The 12404-nt window shown below is 45.4% G+C and overlaps 2 protein-coding genes and 1 long non-coding RNA gene across 8 annotated transcripts in view, besides 5 other annotated features; 1 reads left to right on the top strand and 2 right to left on the bottom strand.

Moving 5' to 3' along the window:
• ANKHD1-EIF4EBP3 (ANKHD1-EIF4EBP3 readthrough) overlaps positions 1-8643 on the bottom strand; it is a 147744-nt gene extending 139101 nt beyond the window's left edge. The window contains exon 1 of the mRNA NM_020690.6: positions 8203-8643. Within this exon, the coding sequence (NP_065741.3) occupies positions 8203-8508 (306 nt within the window). The 5' untranslated portion in view covers positions 8509-8643. The remainder of the gene's footprint in view (positions 1-8202) is intronic.
• ANKHD1 (ankyrin repeat and KH domain containing 1) overlaps positions 1-8643 on the bottom strand; it is a 138017-nt gene extending 129374 nt beyond the window's left edge. For all 4 annotated transcript variants that reach the window (NM_017747.3, NM_024668.4, NM_001197030.2 and 1 more), the window contains exon 1: positions 8203-8643. In NM_017747.3, the coding sequence (NP_060217.1) occupies positions 8203-8508 (306 nt within the window). In that variant the 5' untranslated portion in view covers positions 8509-8643. The remainder of the gene's footprint in view (positions 1-8202) is intronic.
• Positions 3335-3835: an enhancer, noted in NCBI's record as "H3K27ac hESC enhancer chr5:139786226-139786726 (GRCh37/hg19 assembly coordinates)". NCBI's record gives its function as "activates a minimal SCP1, AML or CMV promoter by ChIP-STARR-seq in naive H9 embryonic stem cells {active_cell/tissue: H9 hESC(naive)}" and the evidence as "EXISTENCE:reporter gene assay evidence [ECO:0000049][PMID:30033119]".
• Positions 8440-9329: an enhancer, noted in NCBI's record as "active region_23272". NCBI's record gives its function as "activates an Ori minimal core promoter by ATAC-STARR-seq in GM12878 lymphoblastoid cells {active_cell/tissue: GM12878}" and the evidence as "EXISTENCE:reporter gene assay evidence [ECO:0000049][PMID:35858748]".
• ANKHD1-DT (ANKHD1 divergent transcript) overlaps positions 9075-12404 on the top strand; it is a 30506-nt gene continuing 27176 nt past the window's right edge. For 2 of the 3 annotated variants that reach the window (NR_186045.1, NR_186044.1), the window contains exon 1: positions 9075-9365. This is a non-coding gene — a long non-coding RNA (ANKHD1 divergent transcript). Of the gene's footprint in view, positions 9963-12404 lie in introns of those variants that run through there. The other variant, NR_186046.1, reaches the window with a different exon arrangement.
• Positions 9520-9569: an enhancer, noted in NCBI's record as "active region_23271". NCBI's record gives its function as "activates an Ori minimal core promoter by ATAC-STARR-seq in GM12878 lymphoblastoid cells {active_cell/tissue: GM12878}" and the evidence as "EXISTENCE:reporter gene assay evidence [ECO:0000049][PMID:35858748]".
• Positions 9660-9809: an enhancer, noted in NCBI's record as "active region_23270". NCBI's record gives its function as "activates an Ori minimal core promoter by ATAC-STARR-seq in GM12878 lymphoblastoid cells {active_cell/tissue: GM12878}" and the evidence as "EXISTENCE:reporter gene assay evidence [ECO:0000049][PMID:35858748]".
• Positions 9900-10049: an enhancer, noted in NCBI's record as "active region_23269". NCBI's record gives its function as "activates an Ori minimal core promoter by ATAC-STARR-seq in GM12878 lymphoblastoid cells {active_cell/tissue: GM12878}" and the evidence as "EXISTENCE:reporter gene assay evidence [ECO:0000049][PMID:35858748]".

The raw sequence follows: 12404 nt of genomic DNA, 5'->3' as shown, positions 1-12404 counted from the left end.
TTCTTTAAAGTAACATATTTTATTTATATTAGTGATCACTGAATCAGAAGGCCAGAACTGATTTTGAATTCATCTAGTCAATCAGCACTCTACTAACAAATAGACTCAGAAAGGAATGTGCTTAAACTCACCTCCATCCTTCATTCATAACATAATTTATCACTTTAATTTTTTAAAAAAGTCTAAATCCTTCTCAAATTTACCATTTAAAAATTTCACATAAATAGCATCTTACCATCTGTGTAACAGTAGGGAAAATACACATAGTTGTATTTTCATAAAGAAATTCTGAAAGGCTATATAATACTTTTATTAAAAGTATAAAGAGCAAGATATGTGGGAGCAGGGTGAGATTGAGACTTCACTGTATCTGCCCTTATATTACTTTGACTTATGAACTATATGAATGTAATTATCTATTGAAAATATACTAATAACAACAAAAACCTCTCATACTTAAAGTTTCCCAAAAAGTTTTCCTCCACCCATACTAATCAACTCTGCATCAACCCCACCATTCACATAAATATACTTATCAATGCATCATTTTATATGTAAAGTCTTAAGGCTTTACATCATGAAGCTTGTGAAAGGTTGATATTTGTGCAACATACAAAAAATTGTGGCTGGGCGCGGTGGCTCACACCTGTAATCCCAGCACTTTGGGAGGCTGAGGCGGGTGGATCACAAGGTCAGGAGACCGAGACCATCCTGGGTAACACAGTGAAACACCGTCTCTACTAAAAATACAAAAAATTAGCCGAGCGTGGTGGCACGGGCCTGTAGTCCCAGCTACTCAGGAGGCTGAGGCAGGAGAATCACTTGAACCCAGGAGGTGGAGGCTGCAGTGAGCCGAGATCCTGCCACTGCACTCCAGCCTGGGTGACAGAGCAAGGCTCCTCTGACTCAAAAAAAAAAAAAAAAAATTGTTACAGTAATAACATATAATTCTTTTTATTCAATAAGCATTTCCAAAGTCTCCAAAATTAGCCCACTAGAATACAAAGTTATATTTCCTATGTTATCACTACAAATGATAATTTATGGAATAAAGCATTTCTACTTTGAACAAACTGGAAGTCCCCATAAAAGTTTTTTAAAAATTCATTTTCATGGACAACTGAACTTTTTGAAAAATAATATATTTTAAGTGAAAGTTCCCCAAAATGATACATTTACCATAGAAAATTTACAGCAGTGCATGCTAGTTTTATATTAAACCTTTCAGTACCTTCTATTTCTCCCTTGTTCAGGTTATAAGCATAAGTCCTGAAATGCTATTAAAAGCAGTGACTCACCTTGTTTACCTTAAGTTTGAATACAGAGTATAACAAAACTACCATTCCTGACAAGAGTGGCCTCTAGACCGGTAGCTCTCAACCAGGAGTGATTTTGTCCCTAGGAGACATTTGGCAACGTCTGAACAATTTTTGGCTATCATAATCGGGTTCTACTGGCATCTAGTGGGTAGAGGCCAGGGATGCTTCTAATGCACAGGAGAGCCCCTCACAACAAAGAATTCTCTGTCCCAAAATGTCTATATGTTGCTCTTGAGAAACTGCTCTAGATTATAGATCATACTAGCCAAGTATTGTGGTGCACACCTATAGTCCCCTGTAGTCCTGACTACTTGGGAGGCTGAAGCAGAAGGATTGCTTGAGCCCAGGAGTGGGAGACCACATAGAGTTATGACCATGCCACCGCACTGTGTAGCCAGGGCAACAGCCAGCCTGGGCAAAAAAGCGAGACCCCCATCTCTCAAAACACATAACGGTAAAAAAAATTTAATTAAAAATTAAAAAACAGATTATATATAGATCATAAACAATCTTAAAGGATATGACCCAACTCCTTACCTACTGGAGAAAATCAGGATGGGATTTCTGTATGACTTTTGCTTTTGATGTTAAAAGTAATTTTCAGGGAAAAAGGAATCCCTACAAAGCTTGTGCTATATTTTCAGAGCTAAATACAATTTCTGCGTGCTTTTATATAATTGTAAATACAGCACCTGCTTCAAGAAAAAAACCTCAGTGTGATATAAAGCTACACTTTTAAATTTGATATGCCTTTAAAGTATGTGTATATGAACATATATACATATATACATAGAAAGATAGGCCTAGAAAATTTACTGAATGAAAAATTTTAATATTGGTTACCTTGAAGGGTAGAATTTGAAGAATTAATGGGGGTGGGAAGAAGCACTTTTACTTTTCCCCTTATACCTACTATCTATATTGTTGAGTTTTTCAACAAGTAACTATTTTGTAATAATTTTATTATTTTCTAATTTTTTGAGATGGAGTCTTGCTCTGTTACCCAGACTGGAGTGCACTGGTATGATCTTGGCTGACTGCAGCCTCCGTCTCCCGGGTTCAAGAGATTCTCCTGCCTCAGCCTCCCAAGTGGCTAGGATTACAGGCGCCTGCCACCATACCCAGCTAATTTTTGTATTTTTAGTAGAGACAGGCTTTCACCATGTTGGCCAGGCTGGTCTCAAACTCCTGACCTCAGATGATCCATCCGCTTTGGCCTCCCAAAGTGGTGGGATTACAGGCGTGAGCCACCGCGCCCGGCCACTTTTGTAATAATTTTAAAAGAGGGCCGTCACACACACACATACACACACAAACACACATATACACACACATTCATTCTTACGACAAAAATTGAAAACCATGTCTCACACAATCTTTTCTTTAGAAACTGTATTTTTATTTCGATTTGCTAAAAAAATTAAAAGACCACAATTCTAAAATTAAAATTTAAAAATTGGTTTTTCGGTCAGGCACAGTGGCTTACAACTTGTAATCTCTGCATTTTTGGAGGCCCAGGCAGAAGGATCCCTTGAGGCCAGGAGTTCAAGACTAGCCTGGGCAACATTTTTTTTTTTTTAAATCAGGTGGAGTGGTGGAGTACACCTCTAGTTAGACCTAGCTCTTTGGGAGGCTGAGGCAGTAGGATTGCTTGAGCCCAGGAATTCGAGGTTGCAGTGAACTATGATCATGCCACTGCATTCCAGCCTGGGTGACAGAGCAAAAGCCCATCTCTAAAAATAAATAAATAAATAAAAATAGGCTGGGTGTGGTGGCTCACACCTGTAATCCTAATCTCAAAATAAATAAATAAAAATTTAAAATAAAAACCATTTTTTAAAGTGGTTTTTTTTTTTTTTTTGGAGATGGAGTCTCACTCTGTCACCCAGGCTGGAGTGCAGTGACGCGATCTCAGCTCACTGCGACTTCTGCCTCCCAGGTTCAAGCAATTCTCCTGCCTCAGCCTCCTGAGTAGGCTGAGATTGCAGGTGCGTGCCACCACGCCCACCTAATTTTTGTTTTTTAGTAGAGATGGGGTTTCACCATGTTGGTCTGGCTGGTCTCAAACTCCTGATCTTGTGACCCACCCACCTCGGCCTCCCAAAGTGCTGGGATTACAGGCGTTAGCCACCGCACCAGGCCTAAAGTGGTTTTTAAGAAATTTTTAACCTAACTTCTATTCTGAACATGGATACATTTCTTAATAGGATTCAATGCAGTGCTAGCTCTTCTAATCAAGGGCTTCGATAGCTAAGAAACATGCTAAGAATGCCTGAAGAAATACGAAGCAGGTATTTACCCCAATGTTTAAAATAACAAAAGGGCCAGGTGGGTGACTCACGGCTGTAATCCCAGCACTTTGGGAGACCTAGGCGAGCAGATCACCTGAGGTCAGGAGTTCGAGACCAGCCTGGCCAATATGGTGAAACCCCCATTTCTGCTAAAGATAGAAAAATTAGCCAGGCATGGTGGCACGCACTTGTAATCTCACTACTGAGGCAGGAGAATCACTTGAATGCAGGAAGCAGAGGTTGCAGTGAGCTAAGATCGTGCCAGCCTGGGCGACAAGACTCCATCTCAAAAAAAAAAAAAAAATGTACTGAAAGATGTGAGTCCATTCCTCTAACCAAAAGGTCTTTTGCTTGGCCAGCAAGAAAGAGTAGCTTGTTTTTTCTCAGCTCTTGGCTCTGATATTAAATATAAAGAGGTCCTTAGAGGGTCTACTCCTCTGTACACAAAATGTAGAAGACCAACTAATTCTAGAGCAAAAATACTAGGGCTCCACATTTCTTATTTCTCACCTAATCCTGCCCCATTAGAGCAACAAGACAAACTTCACTCCCAAACTACACACCAATTCATCATCTTTTTGGATGTCTAGGTACTTGTTTCTAAAATAATTTATTTTTTTTTTTTTTTGAGACAGAGTCTCTCTCTGTCACCCTGCCTGGAGGGCAGTGGCGTGATCTCGGCTCACTGCAACCTCTGCCTCCTGGGTTCAAGCGATTCTCCTCCCTCAGCCTCCTGAGTAACTCAGATTACAGGCGCCCTCCACCAAGCCCGGCTAATTTTTTGTTTTAATAGAGACAGAATTTTGCCATGTTGGCCAGGCTGGTCTCTAACTCCTGACCTCAGCTGATCCACCCGCCTTGGCCTCCCAAAGTGCTGTGATTACAGGCGTGAGCCACCATGCCCGGTGGTTATAAATATTTAGGAAAAATGAAGGCCAGGCATGGTGGCTCACACCTGTAATCCCAACACTTTGGGAGACCAAGGTGGGAGAATCACTTGAGGCCAGAAGTTTGAGACCAGCCTGGCCAACGTGACAAAACGCTGTCTCTACCAAAAATATAAAAATTACCTGGGAGTGGTGGTGGATATCTGTAATCCCAGCTACTCAGGAGGGTGAGACAGAAGAATCGCTTGAACCCAGGAGGCGGAGGTTGCAGTGAGCCAAGATCGTGCCACTGCACTCCAGCCTGGGTGACAGAATGAGACCCTGTCTCAAAAAAATAAATAAAAATAAACAAAATATTTAGGAAAGATGAGACGGAGGATTTTAGTATTATTCATCAAATGCCAATTACATGAGTATTTTTTGAAGAACACTGTTACCTTTTCACACTGAAAATTCAAAGGCAATAATAATAAAAGAAGACAGCTCATCTTGTCAGACAGAAAAAGAAAAGGGAAAATTTTTGCTTGGCCAAAACAGGTCATTTTATTCACAAAGGCACAGACTATACTCTACCACACATACTATAAAGACTAGATACTCCAAGAATTTCCTCTCTATGTGATATGGGAGAAACAGGACCCAAAAAAAATTTCCTGCTTACACAGATTAAGAAAGCATCTATACACCCACTAAGCATCATCTTAGATTAGGCTAAAGTGGGTATCCTAGAAACTTCCATTCCAAAAATGAGGTCTACATGTACTCTTAACCTGTAAATCCTTTTAGGCACAGAAAACATAAGTAAACAGGAGAATATGGGGCTCTTCTAACATTAGGCACCACTAAGTGGGTGTAGGAATCACCAACACATGACTTCTACAATAAGCTTCAAAAATACAAAAGGCATGGATTCTGCCCATAGCTTTAATTACATGGTATGGAGACTCCAAAGACCATTACACATACACACACACACACACACACACACACACACACACACACACACACACAGACATGCACAGTCAGAAAGAGAGAGAGACAAATTTATGACTTTGGGGGCAAACTAGTGCTCTACCTGTGAAGAAATTTAAGACTATTACTTATAAAAAAGCAAATGGTTGCCAGGCACAGTAGCGTGTGCCTATAGTCCCAGCTACTTAGGAGGCTGAGGTAGGAGGACCACCCGAGCCCAGGAGTTTGAGGCTAGCCTGGACAACATAGCAAAACCTGTCTCAAAAAAAAAAAAAAAATTAAGGCCGGGCGTGGTGGCTCATGCCTGTAATCCCAGCACTCTGAGAGGGCGATCACCTGAGGTCAGGAGTTTGAGACCCACCTGGCCAACATGGTAAAACCTCGTCTCTACTAAAAATACAAAAAAATTAGCCAGTCGTGGTAGCAGGCACCTGGAATCCCAGTTACTAGGGAGGCTGAGGCAGGAAAATAGCTTGAACCTGGGAGACGGGGGTTGCAGTGAGCCAAGATCGAGCCACCGCACTCCAGCCTGGGTGACAAGAGCAAGACACAGTCTCAAAAAAAACAAAAAAAACAAAAAATTAAAATTAAAAAAAAAGGCAAATGAGTGACCTTTCATCTCACCCATGACAATTATGTAAAAATGGTCAAGAAAATCAAGGTCCCCTTTTTCTATCACATTTAGACCAAAGCAAACTCTTTCAGATTCTCATTTACAAGTTTCATAGAAAATAAGCTCTAATCTTTAGTCTAAGGATATCCCCCACACTTCATTTCCTAGCTAAAAAGTACTGTGTTCTAGCTTAATCTCTCACGTTTCACTGAAAGGATAAAATAAAGCCTTCCACAAGACCAAGAGCAGGGATACTCCAGAGTCTCTCCCCATAACTGCCTACTCAAATAAAACATTTCTCTCACCTTGGCTTAGAAGTTATTTCCCTTACCGTGAAATTCAAAGACGTAGACATTCAAGGGACTACCCGCCTTATAACCCACACACTTTTTTTTCCAAAGCAAAATGTTAGGGTCAGAATGTACTAAGGTTTTAAATATTAAATAAAACCCTGTTCAGACCTAGAATGATAAGACAGTATACTAACTGCAGTCTGTAACCCACAAATAATTTCTCCTTATTCCTCTCAAATCCAAGAGCCGGGATTGTTAGTACACACAGAGAAATTCCTGTACTTTAACACCAAGACCAGAGGTTAAAATAACTGGTCACAGGTGACAACTCAGGCACCTCAGAACCAAAATAGAAGAAATACTCTGAGCACTTAAAACAATCACGGTACAGTACTCTACGCAAGCCACAGTCAACAGAAAAAAGTATACACATAAAATACCGCCCCTTGGGATCACAAGGTCAGGAGATCGAGACCATCCTGGACATGGTGAAACCCTGTCTTTACTAAAAAATACAAAATATTAGCCGGGAGTGGTGGCACGCGCCTGTAGTCCCAGCTACTCAGGAGGCTAAGGCAGGGGAATCGCTTGAACCCAGGAGGCGGAGGTTGCAGTGTGCCGAGATCGCGCCACTGCACTCCAGCCTGGCGACAGAGCGAAACTCCATCTCAAAAAACAAAAACAAAACCCGCCCCTTTTTCCCCAGAACCCAAAAGAAGTTAATGCCTACCATCCCAGGTTGCTCAGACCTAAAAATGTGTACACATTAGAGTACACACAGAAGAGTTAAAGAAATGAAGGACTTCACTGCAAAGGCAGAGTGAAGGTGTCCAGCCGGGCACGGTGGCTCATACCTGTAATCCCAGCACTTTGGGAGGCCGAGGCGGGCGGATCACCTGAGGTCAGGAGTTCGAGACCAGCCTGACCAACATGGTGAAACCCCGTATCTAATAAAAATACAAAATTAGTCGGGCGTGGTGGCGCACGCCTGTAATCCCAGCTACTCGGGAGGCTGAGGCAGGAGAATCGCTTGAACCCGGGAGGCGGAGGTTGCAGTGAGCTGAGATCACGTGTATTCTAGCGTGGACAACAAGAGCGAAACTCCATCTCAAAAAAAAAAAAAAAAAAAAAAAAAAGAAGAGGTTTCCACAGGTTGCCCCACTTTCTCCAAGCCTAAAACCTCCGAGTTCAGCTACCCAGCTATTCCGAAGCTCAGGGATGCCCTGGAACTTCCTTTTCCTGTCTAACTTCACAAAAGGTCCCAGAAGGAGGAGTCACGTGATTTTTCAGGGTAAAAGCCGAGAGATCCCTAATACTCAAACCTGTCTCAAACTGAAGAGGGAGAATAAGAACCGTCCTTAAGCACACAGGTAAGACACACACAAGGCAGAAGGCAAATAAACGTATCCCTCAACTCTGAGGAGAGGCAAAGAAGAGAAACGATCTTTGCACCAGCTCTGTCTCTGTCTCTGTTTGTCTCTCTCAGTACCAAGGGCAGGGACTCTGGCAAGACCCCGCCCCCCACCCCCAACTCCAAAGCAGGGTGGGCGGGAGGCAGCCTGAGGAGTCCCTGTTCCCGCGCGAAGCTCAGAGACCAAAGGACTCCCTATTGTGGGTCTACGAATGGTGACGGGAACCTGTCCCGCTCGAGCTAAAGAGTAAGCCGAGGGCTCACTAGGCCCTCACCGCGGCCACCGCCGCCATGGAGCCGACCGCTGTCACAGAAGGGCTCCACCAGGGAAGCGGGAGGATGGCCCCGGCCCAGAGCCTACCCAAAGAGAATTCACGCCTCACAATGTGTGGGAGGCGAGGGTCCCGGAGCCTTACCTCGGACACTTCGTCCTCGTCACTGCCAGAGGCACCACCTCCACCCCCGGTCCTCAGCACGGCAGCCGCCAACTTGAAATCCAGCGCCGCGTCCCCTCCGCCCGTACCGCTGCCGCTGCCGCCGCCGCCGCTGCTGCCGACTCCCGACGCTGGCCCGGCCTCCCCAAAGAGCCTCACGGTGCGGATCCCCAGACCGACCCCTCCCGGCGGAGGCGGCTCCGAGGCCCCAGCTGGGGCGGATCGCGGAGCCACAGAGTCCAGGTCCTCCTCAAAGGAGGTGCCGCCGCCTCCGCTATCAGTCAGCATTGTTCGCACCCGGAGCCGGAGACGGTGCCGACCCACTCGCGGTCACCGCCGCCGCTGATCTCGGGAACGAGAAGAGCAGCAAGAGGAAGAAGCGTCTCCTTTCCCCCGTCCCAGCAGCGCCACTAACTTCTCACTGCCTAACCTGCTGCCTCCCGCCCCCTCGACTCGCCACTGGCTGCAATACCCTGGCGGCTGCAGATCATTGGCCAAAGTGACCCGTCGCTCAGGCTCTTCGTCACGCGCCGCTCGCTGGCTCGCAGCCGCCAAGCTGCGTTGACCCGCGCAGGCCTAGGCGGTTGCGAACACCCGCCTCCCACTCTTCACCAGCTGACTTCCGCTCTTTTCCTATGTCTATTGGCCAACCCGCCTGACTATCGCGTCACGACCTTAAAGTGGATTAGTTGGCCTTGTGGTCAGTCATAGTGACCCCGAACAATGGGAGAATTCATTGGCGCCATAAAGTGTCGGTCACTTTGTCGCGGGACGTCGCGTGGTACAATTGGCCTGTGGGAGTACCATTGATCCCGCCCTCATCTGAGGTGACGGGAAAGGGCCGGGAAATTTCCACTTCTGAATAAAATGACTGCTGAAGTGATGACCCGCAAGAATTGGTCAAATTTGGAGTAGACTTCACCCTGCGCTTGGTGAAACTTCTACGTCAAGGATGCAAGAGGCGCCGAAGTAACGCAGCTCCCACCTGTCGCTCTCCGCTGGGCGCCGAGACTATGGCCGGAGAATAGCTGCACCGGGATTGGAGAAAGGAAGCCATCAGTCTTAGGAAGGCTCCACCTTCCTGCCATTGCCTGGTTGGAGGAGCGTAGCGTCAGTCACTAGAGCAGTCACCACCTCTGGGACAGGTGAAGATGTGTAACCTATTTGCCGGGGGCTATTTGGGAGGGAATAGAGGACGGGGAGCGATGAGGGGACAGTCGAGGGGCAAGGCCGATCTCGCTTCGCGCCTCCCGCCTTTCTGAGTTGAGCCTAGCGCGCGGGTCTGAGGGACATCCGGGGAGCTGCTTGGGATGGCCGCCTTGGGGAGACTCGACCCGCCCGCCAGGACCCGGCCGCGCGCCGCAGTTCGGGCGCCTTCGGGCAGGATCGCCCAGCGGGGCCGCGTTCTCCTGCTTGCGGACGGCTGCGGGCCTGAGGGCTGGACAGCGCCATGCCTCAGTACCGGGAACTGTCCCACGTAGGAAGGTGGGAATGCCGCGAACGGCGTGCGGAATCCGACCTCAAGGTGGAACGGGGTGGTGAAGAGTGCATGCTCCGAGGCAGTTTCGAGTTCTGGTGCTGCCACTTACTTGCTGCCTGACTTCGGCGCGTTTGCTGTTTCATTTTTGTGACTTTCAACTCGCTCCTCTGTGAAATGGGAGTAATATTAGTACCTTCCTCATTGGGTTGTTGTTATGAATAAATTAGATGATAATATAGCGCTTAGCAAAGTCCCAAACTTACAGGAAAGACTCATTTTTGCTAGTTATTGTCTCCTCTTCCTTCAGGAACTCTCTGCTCGCCCCTGGGTCCTGCCAGCCCAACTAATTCTAGTTCTAATCAGATCTGTGTGGTGCAAAACAAGGCTAGCTGTGGTGGTCTTCCCTCCTCTAAGGAGATCTCTTCCTCCCTATATGCATCTCTCTATCTCTGTCTTTATCTTGTCAGTAAAGAGGGGGGTTAAAAATATTCAGATTCTATAGCGGGCGCCGTGGCTCACGCCTGTAATCCCAACACTATGGGATGTTGAGGCGGGCGGATCATTTGAACCCAGTAGTTCGAGCCCAGCCTAGGCAACATGGTGAAATCCCGTCTTTACCAAAAATACAAAAATTGGGCTCGGCGCGGTGACTCACGCCTGTTAATCCCAGCACTTTGGGAGGCCTAGGTGGGCGGATCATTTGAGGTTAGGAGTTCTAGACCAGCCTGGCCAACATGGCGAAACCCCGTCTATACTAAAAATACAAAAATTAGCCAGATGTGATGGTGCGTGCCTGTAATCCCAGCTACTCGGGAGGCTGAGGCAGGAGAATCACTTGAACCCAGGAGGCGAAGTTTGCAGTGAGCCAAGATCGTGCCACTGCACTCCAGGTTAGGCGACAGAGCAACACATCGTCTCAAAAAAAAAAAAAAAATTAGCCGAGCATGGTGGTGCATGCCTGTAATTCCAGCTACTCAGGAGGCTGAGGTGGGAGGGATCCCCTGAGCCTGGGAGATGGAGGTTGCAGTGAGCCGAGATCGTGCCACTGAACTCCAGCCTGAGCAACAGAGCGGTGCCCTGTCTAAAAAAATTAAAAAAATAAAAAAAAAACGGTTTCTATCTAATCCTTTAATCAGACATGACCAAAAAAGGAGTCTGGTGGTTTGTATGGAAAATATCCTTTGACCCAGAGAATGTCCATATGATAACAGAATTTGGCTGAAAAAAAAAAAAATGGCCGGGCGCAGTGGCTCACACCTGTAATCCCAGCACCTTGGGAGGCAGAGGTGAGCGGATCACGAGGTCAGGAGATGGAGACCATCCTGGCCAACATGGTGAAACCCCGTCTCTACTAAAAATACAAAAATTAGCCAAGTGTGGCGGCGCGTGCCTGTAATCCCAGCTACTCGGGTGGCTGAGGCAAGAGAATCGCTTGAACCCAGGAGGCGGAGGTTGCAGTGAGCCGAGATCGCACCACTGCACTGCAGCCTGGCGACAGAGCAAGACTCAGTCTCAAAAAAAAAAAAAAAAAGTCATTTTCTCCTCTCTTACAACTTTAACAAAGGCCTTTATATATCTCAACTGTGCAATATTTAATATTTCGTCATCCTTAAACTGGGATCTTAAAATTTTATAAGAATATAATGATTTTTAAAATAACTTTAAAAGTTGATTCTGCCAAACATTTATTTAAAAAACATTTTGAATATCATAAACATTTCTTTGGCTTAGTAATTGCTCATTTTGACATTTCACATGTAAAGGATAGTGTTTTCTATGAGCAGAACATGTTTGTTAAATGTTCTTTCTAGATAATAAATAAGTTGTAGAAAATGTTAAAAAAAAGTCTTGTACCTATTCTAGAGAACTATTTTAATGTAAATGCTATGTACACTGGCTTTAGTTAGCATTTGTGGAACTTAATTAGCCTATATCCTCAGTGCTGTTAAGTTTTCAAGGCATGTGTGACTAAGTCACAACCCAAACTAATAACACCAACAAAAGAAACCTGGCACTGCCCAACCCACTTCAAAGCTGGATTATCCAGAATTGGTATGGATACATCCTTAGGCAAAAACAGGTATTGACTGGTACAGCATTACAAAGGAACTAGTTGTCATGCTTACTACTGATACAAAAATAATTTCTGATGCAACTCCCTGAACAAACTCATTAAATTCTTTAAACAAATACAATGACTCTCAAGGACACAGGGAAAGGAAATCTGGATATATATACATTTTTCTCAATTTATTTGAGAGGGAAGAAAACACTCTCTTTACTCAGTGCCTAGCAACTAACCCTGAGTATAGCTAAAGAAATGTGATTGAGCAATAATCTTTGTTTCACCAGGACCTTTACTTGAGATACTTGTCAGTAGTTTGACAGTCAGTATGGGAATTAGGAACTCCTAGTCTCCTATATTTTGGTGACTGCTATATAGAATCTCTATTAAATGTGATTTAATGGCTGGGCATGGTGGCTCACGCCTGTAATCCCAGTACTTTGGGAGGCCAAGGTGGGTGGATCACCCGAGGTCAGGAGTTCCAGACCAGCCTGGCCAACATGATGAAACCCCGTCTCTACTAAAAATACAAAAAATTAGCCAGGCGTGGTGGTGGGCGCCTATAATCCCAGCTACTCAGGAGGCTGAGGCGGGAGAATTGCTTGCACCTGGGAGGCAGAGGTTTCAGTGAGCCAAGAT

This window comes from Homo sapiens, chromosome 5 (genome assembly GCF_000001405.40).
Source record: "Homo sapiens chromosome 5, GRCh38.p14 Primary Assembly".
Lineage (NCBI taxonomy): Eukaryota > Metazoa > Chordata > Mammalia > Primates > Hominidae > Homo > Homo sapiens.
This window is presented reverse-complemented; position numbering and strand designations above follow the sequence as displayed.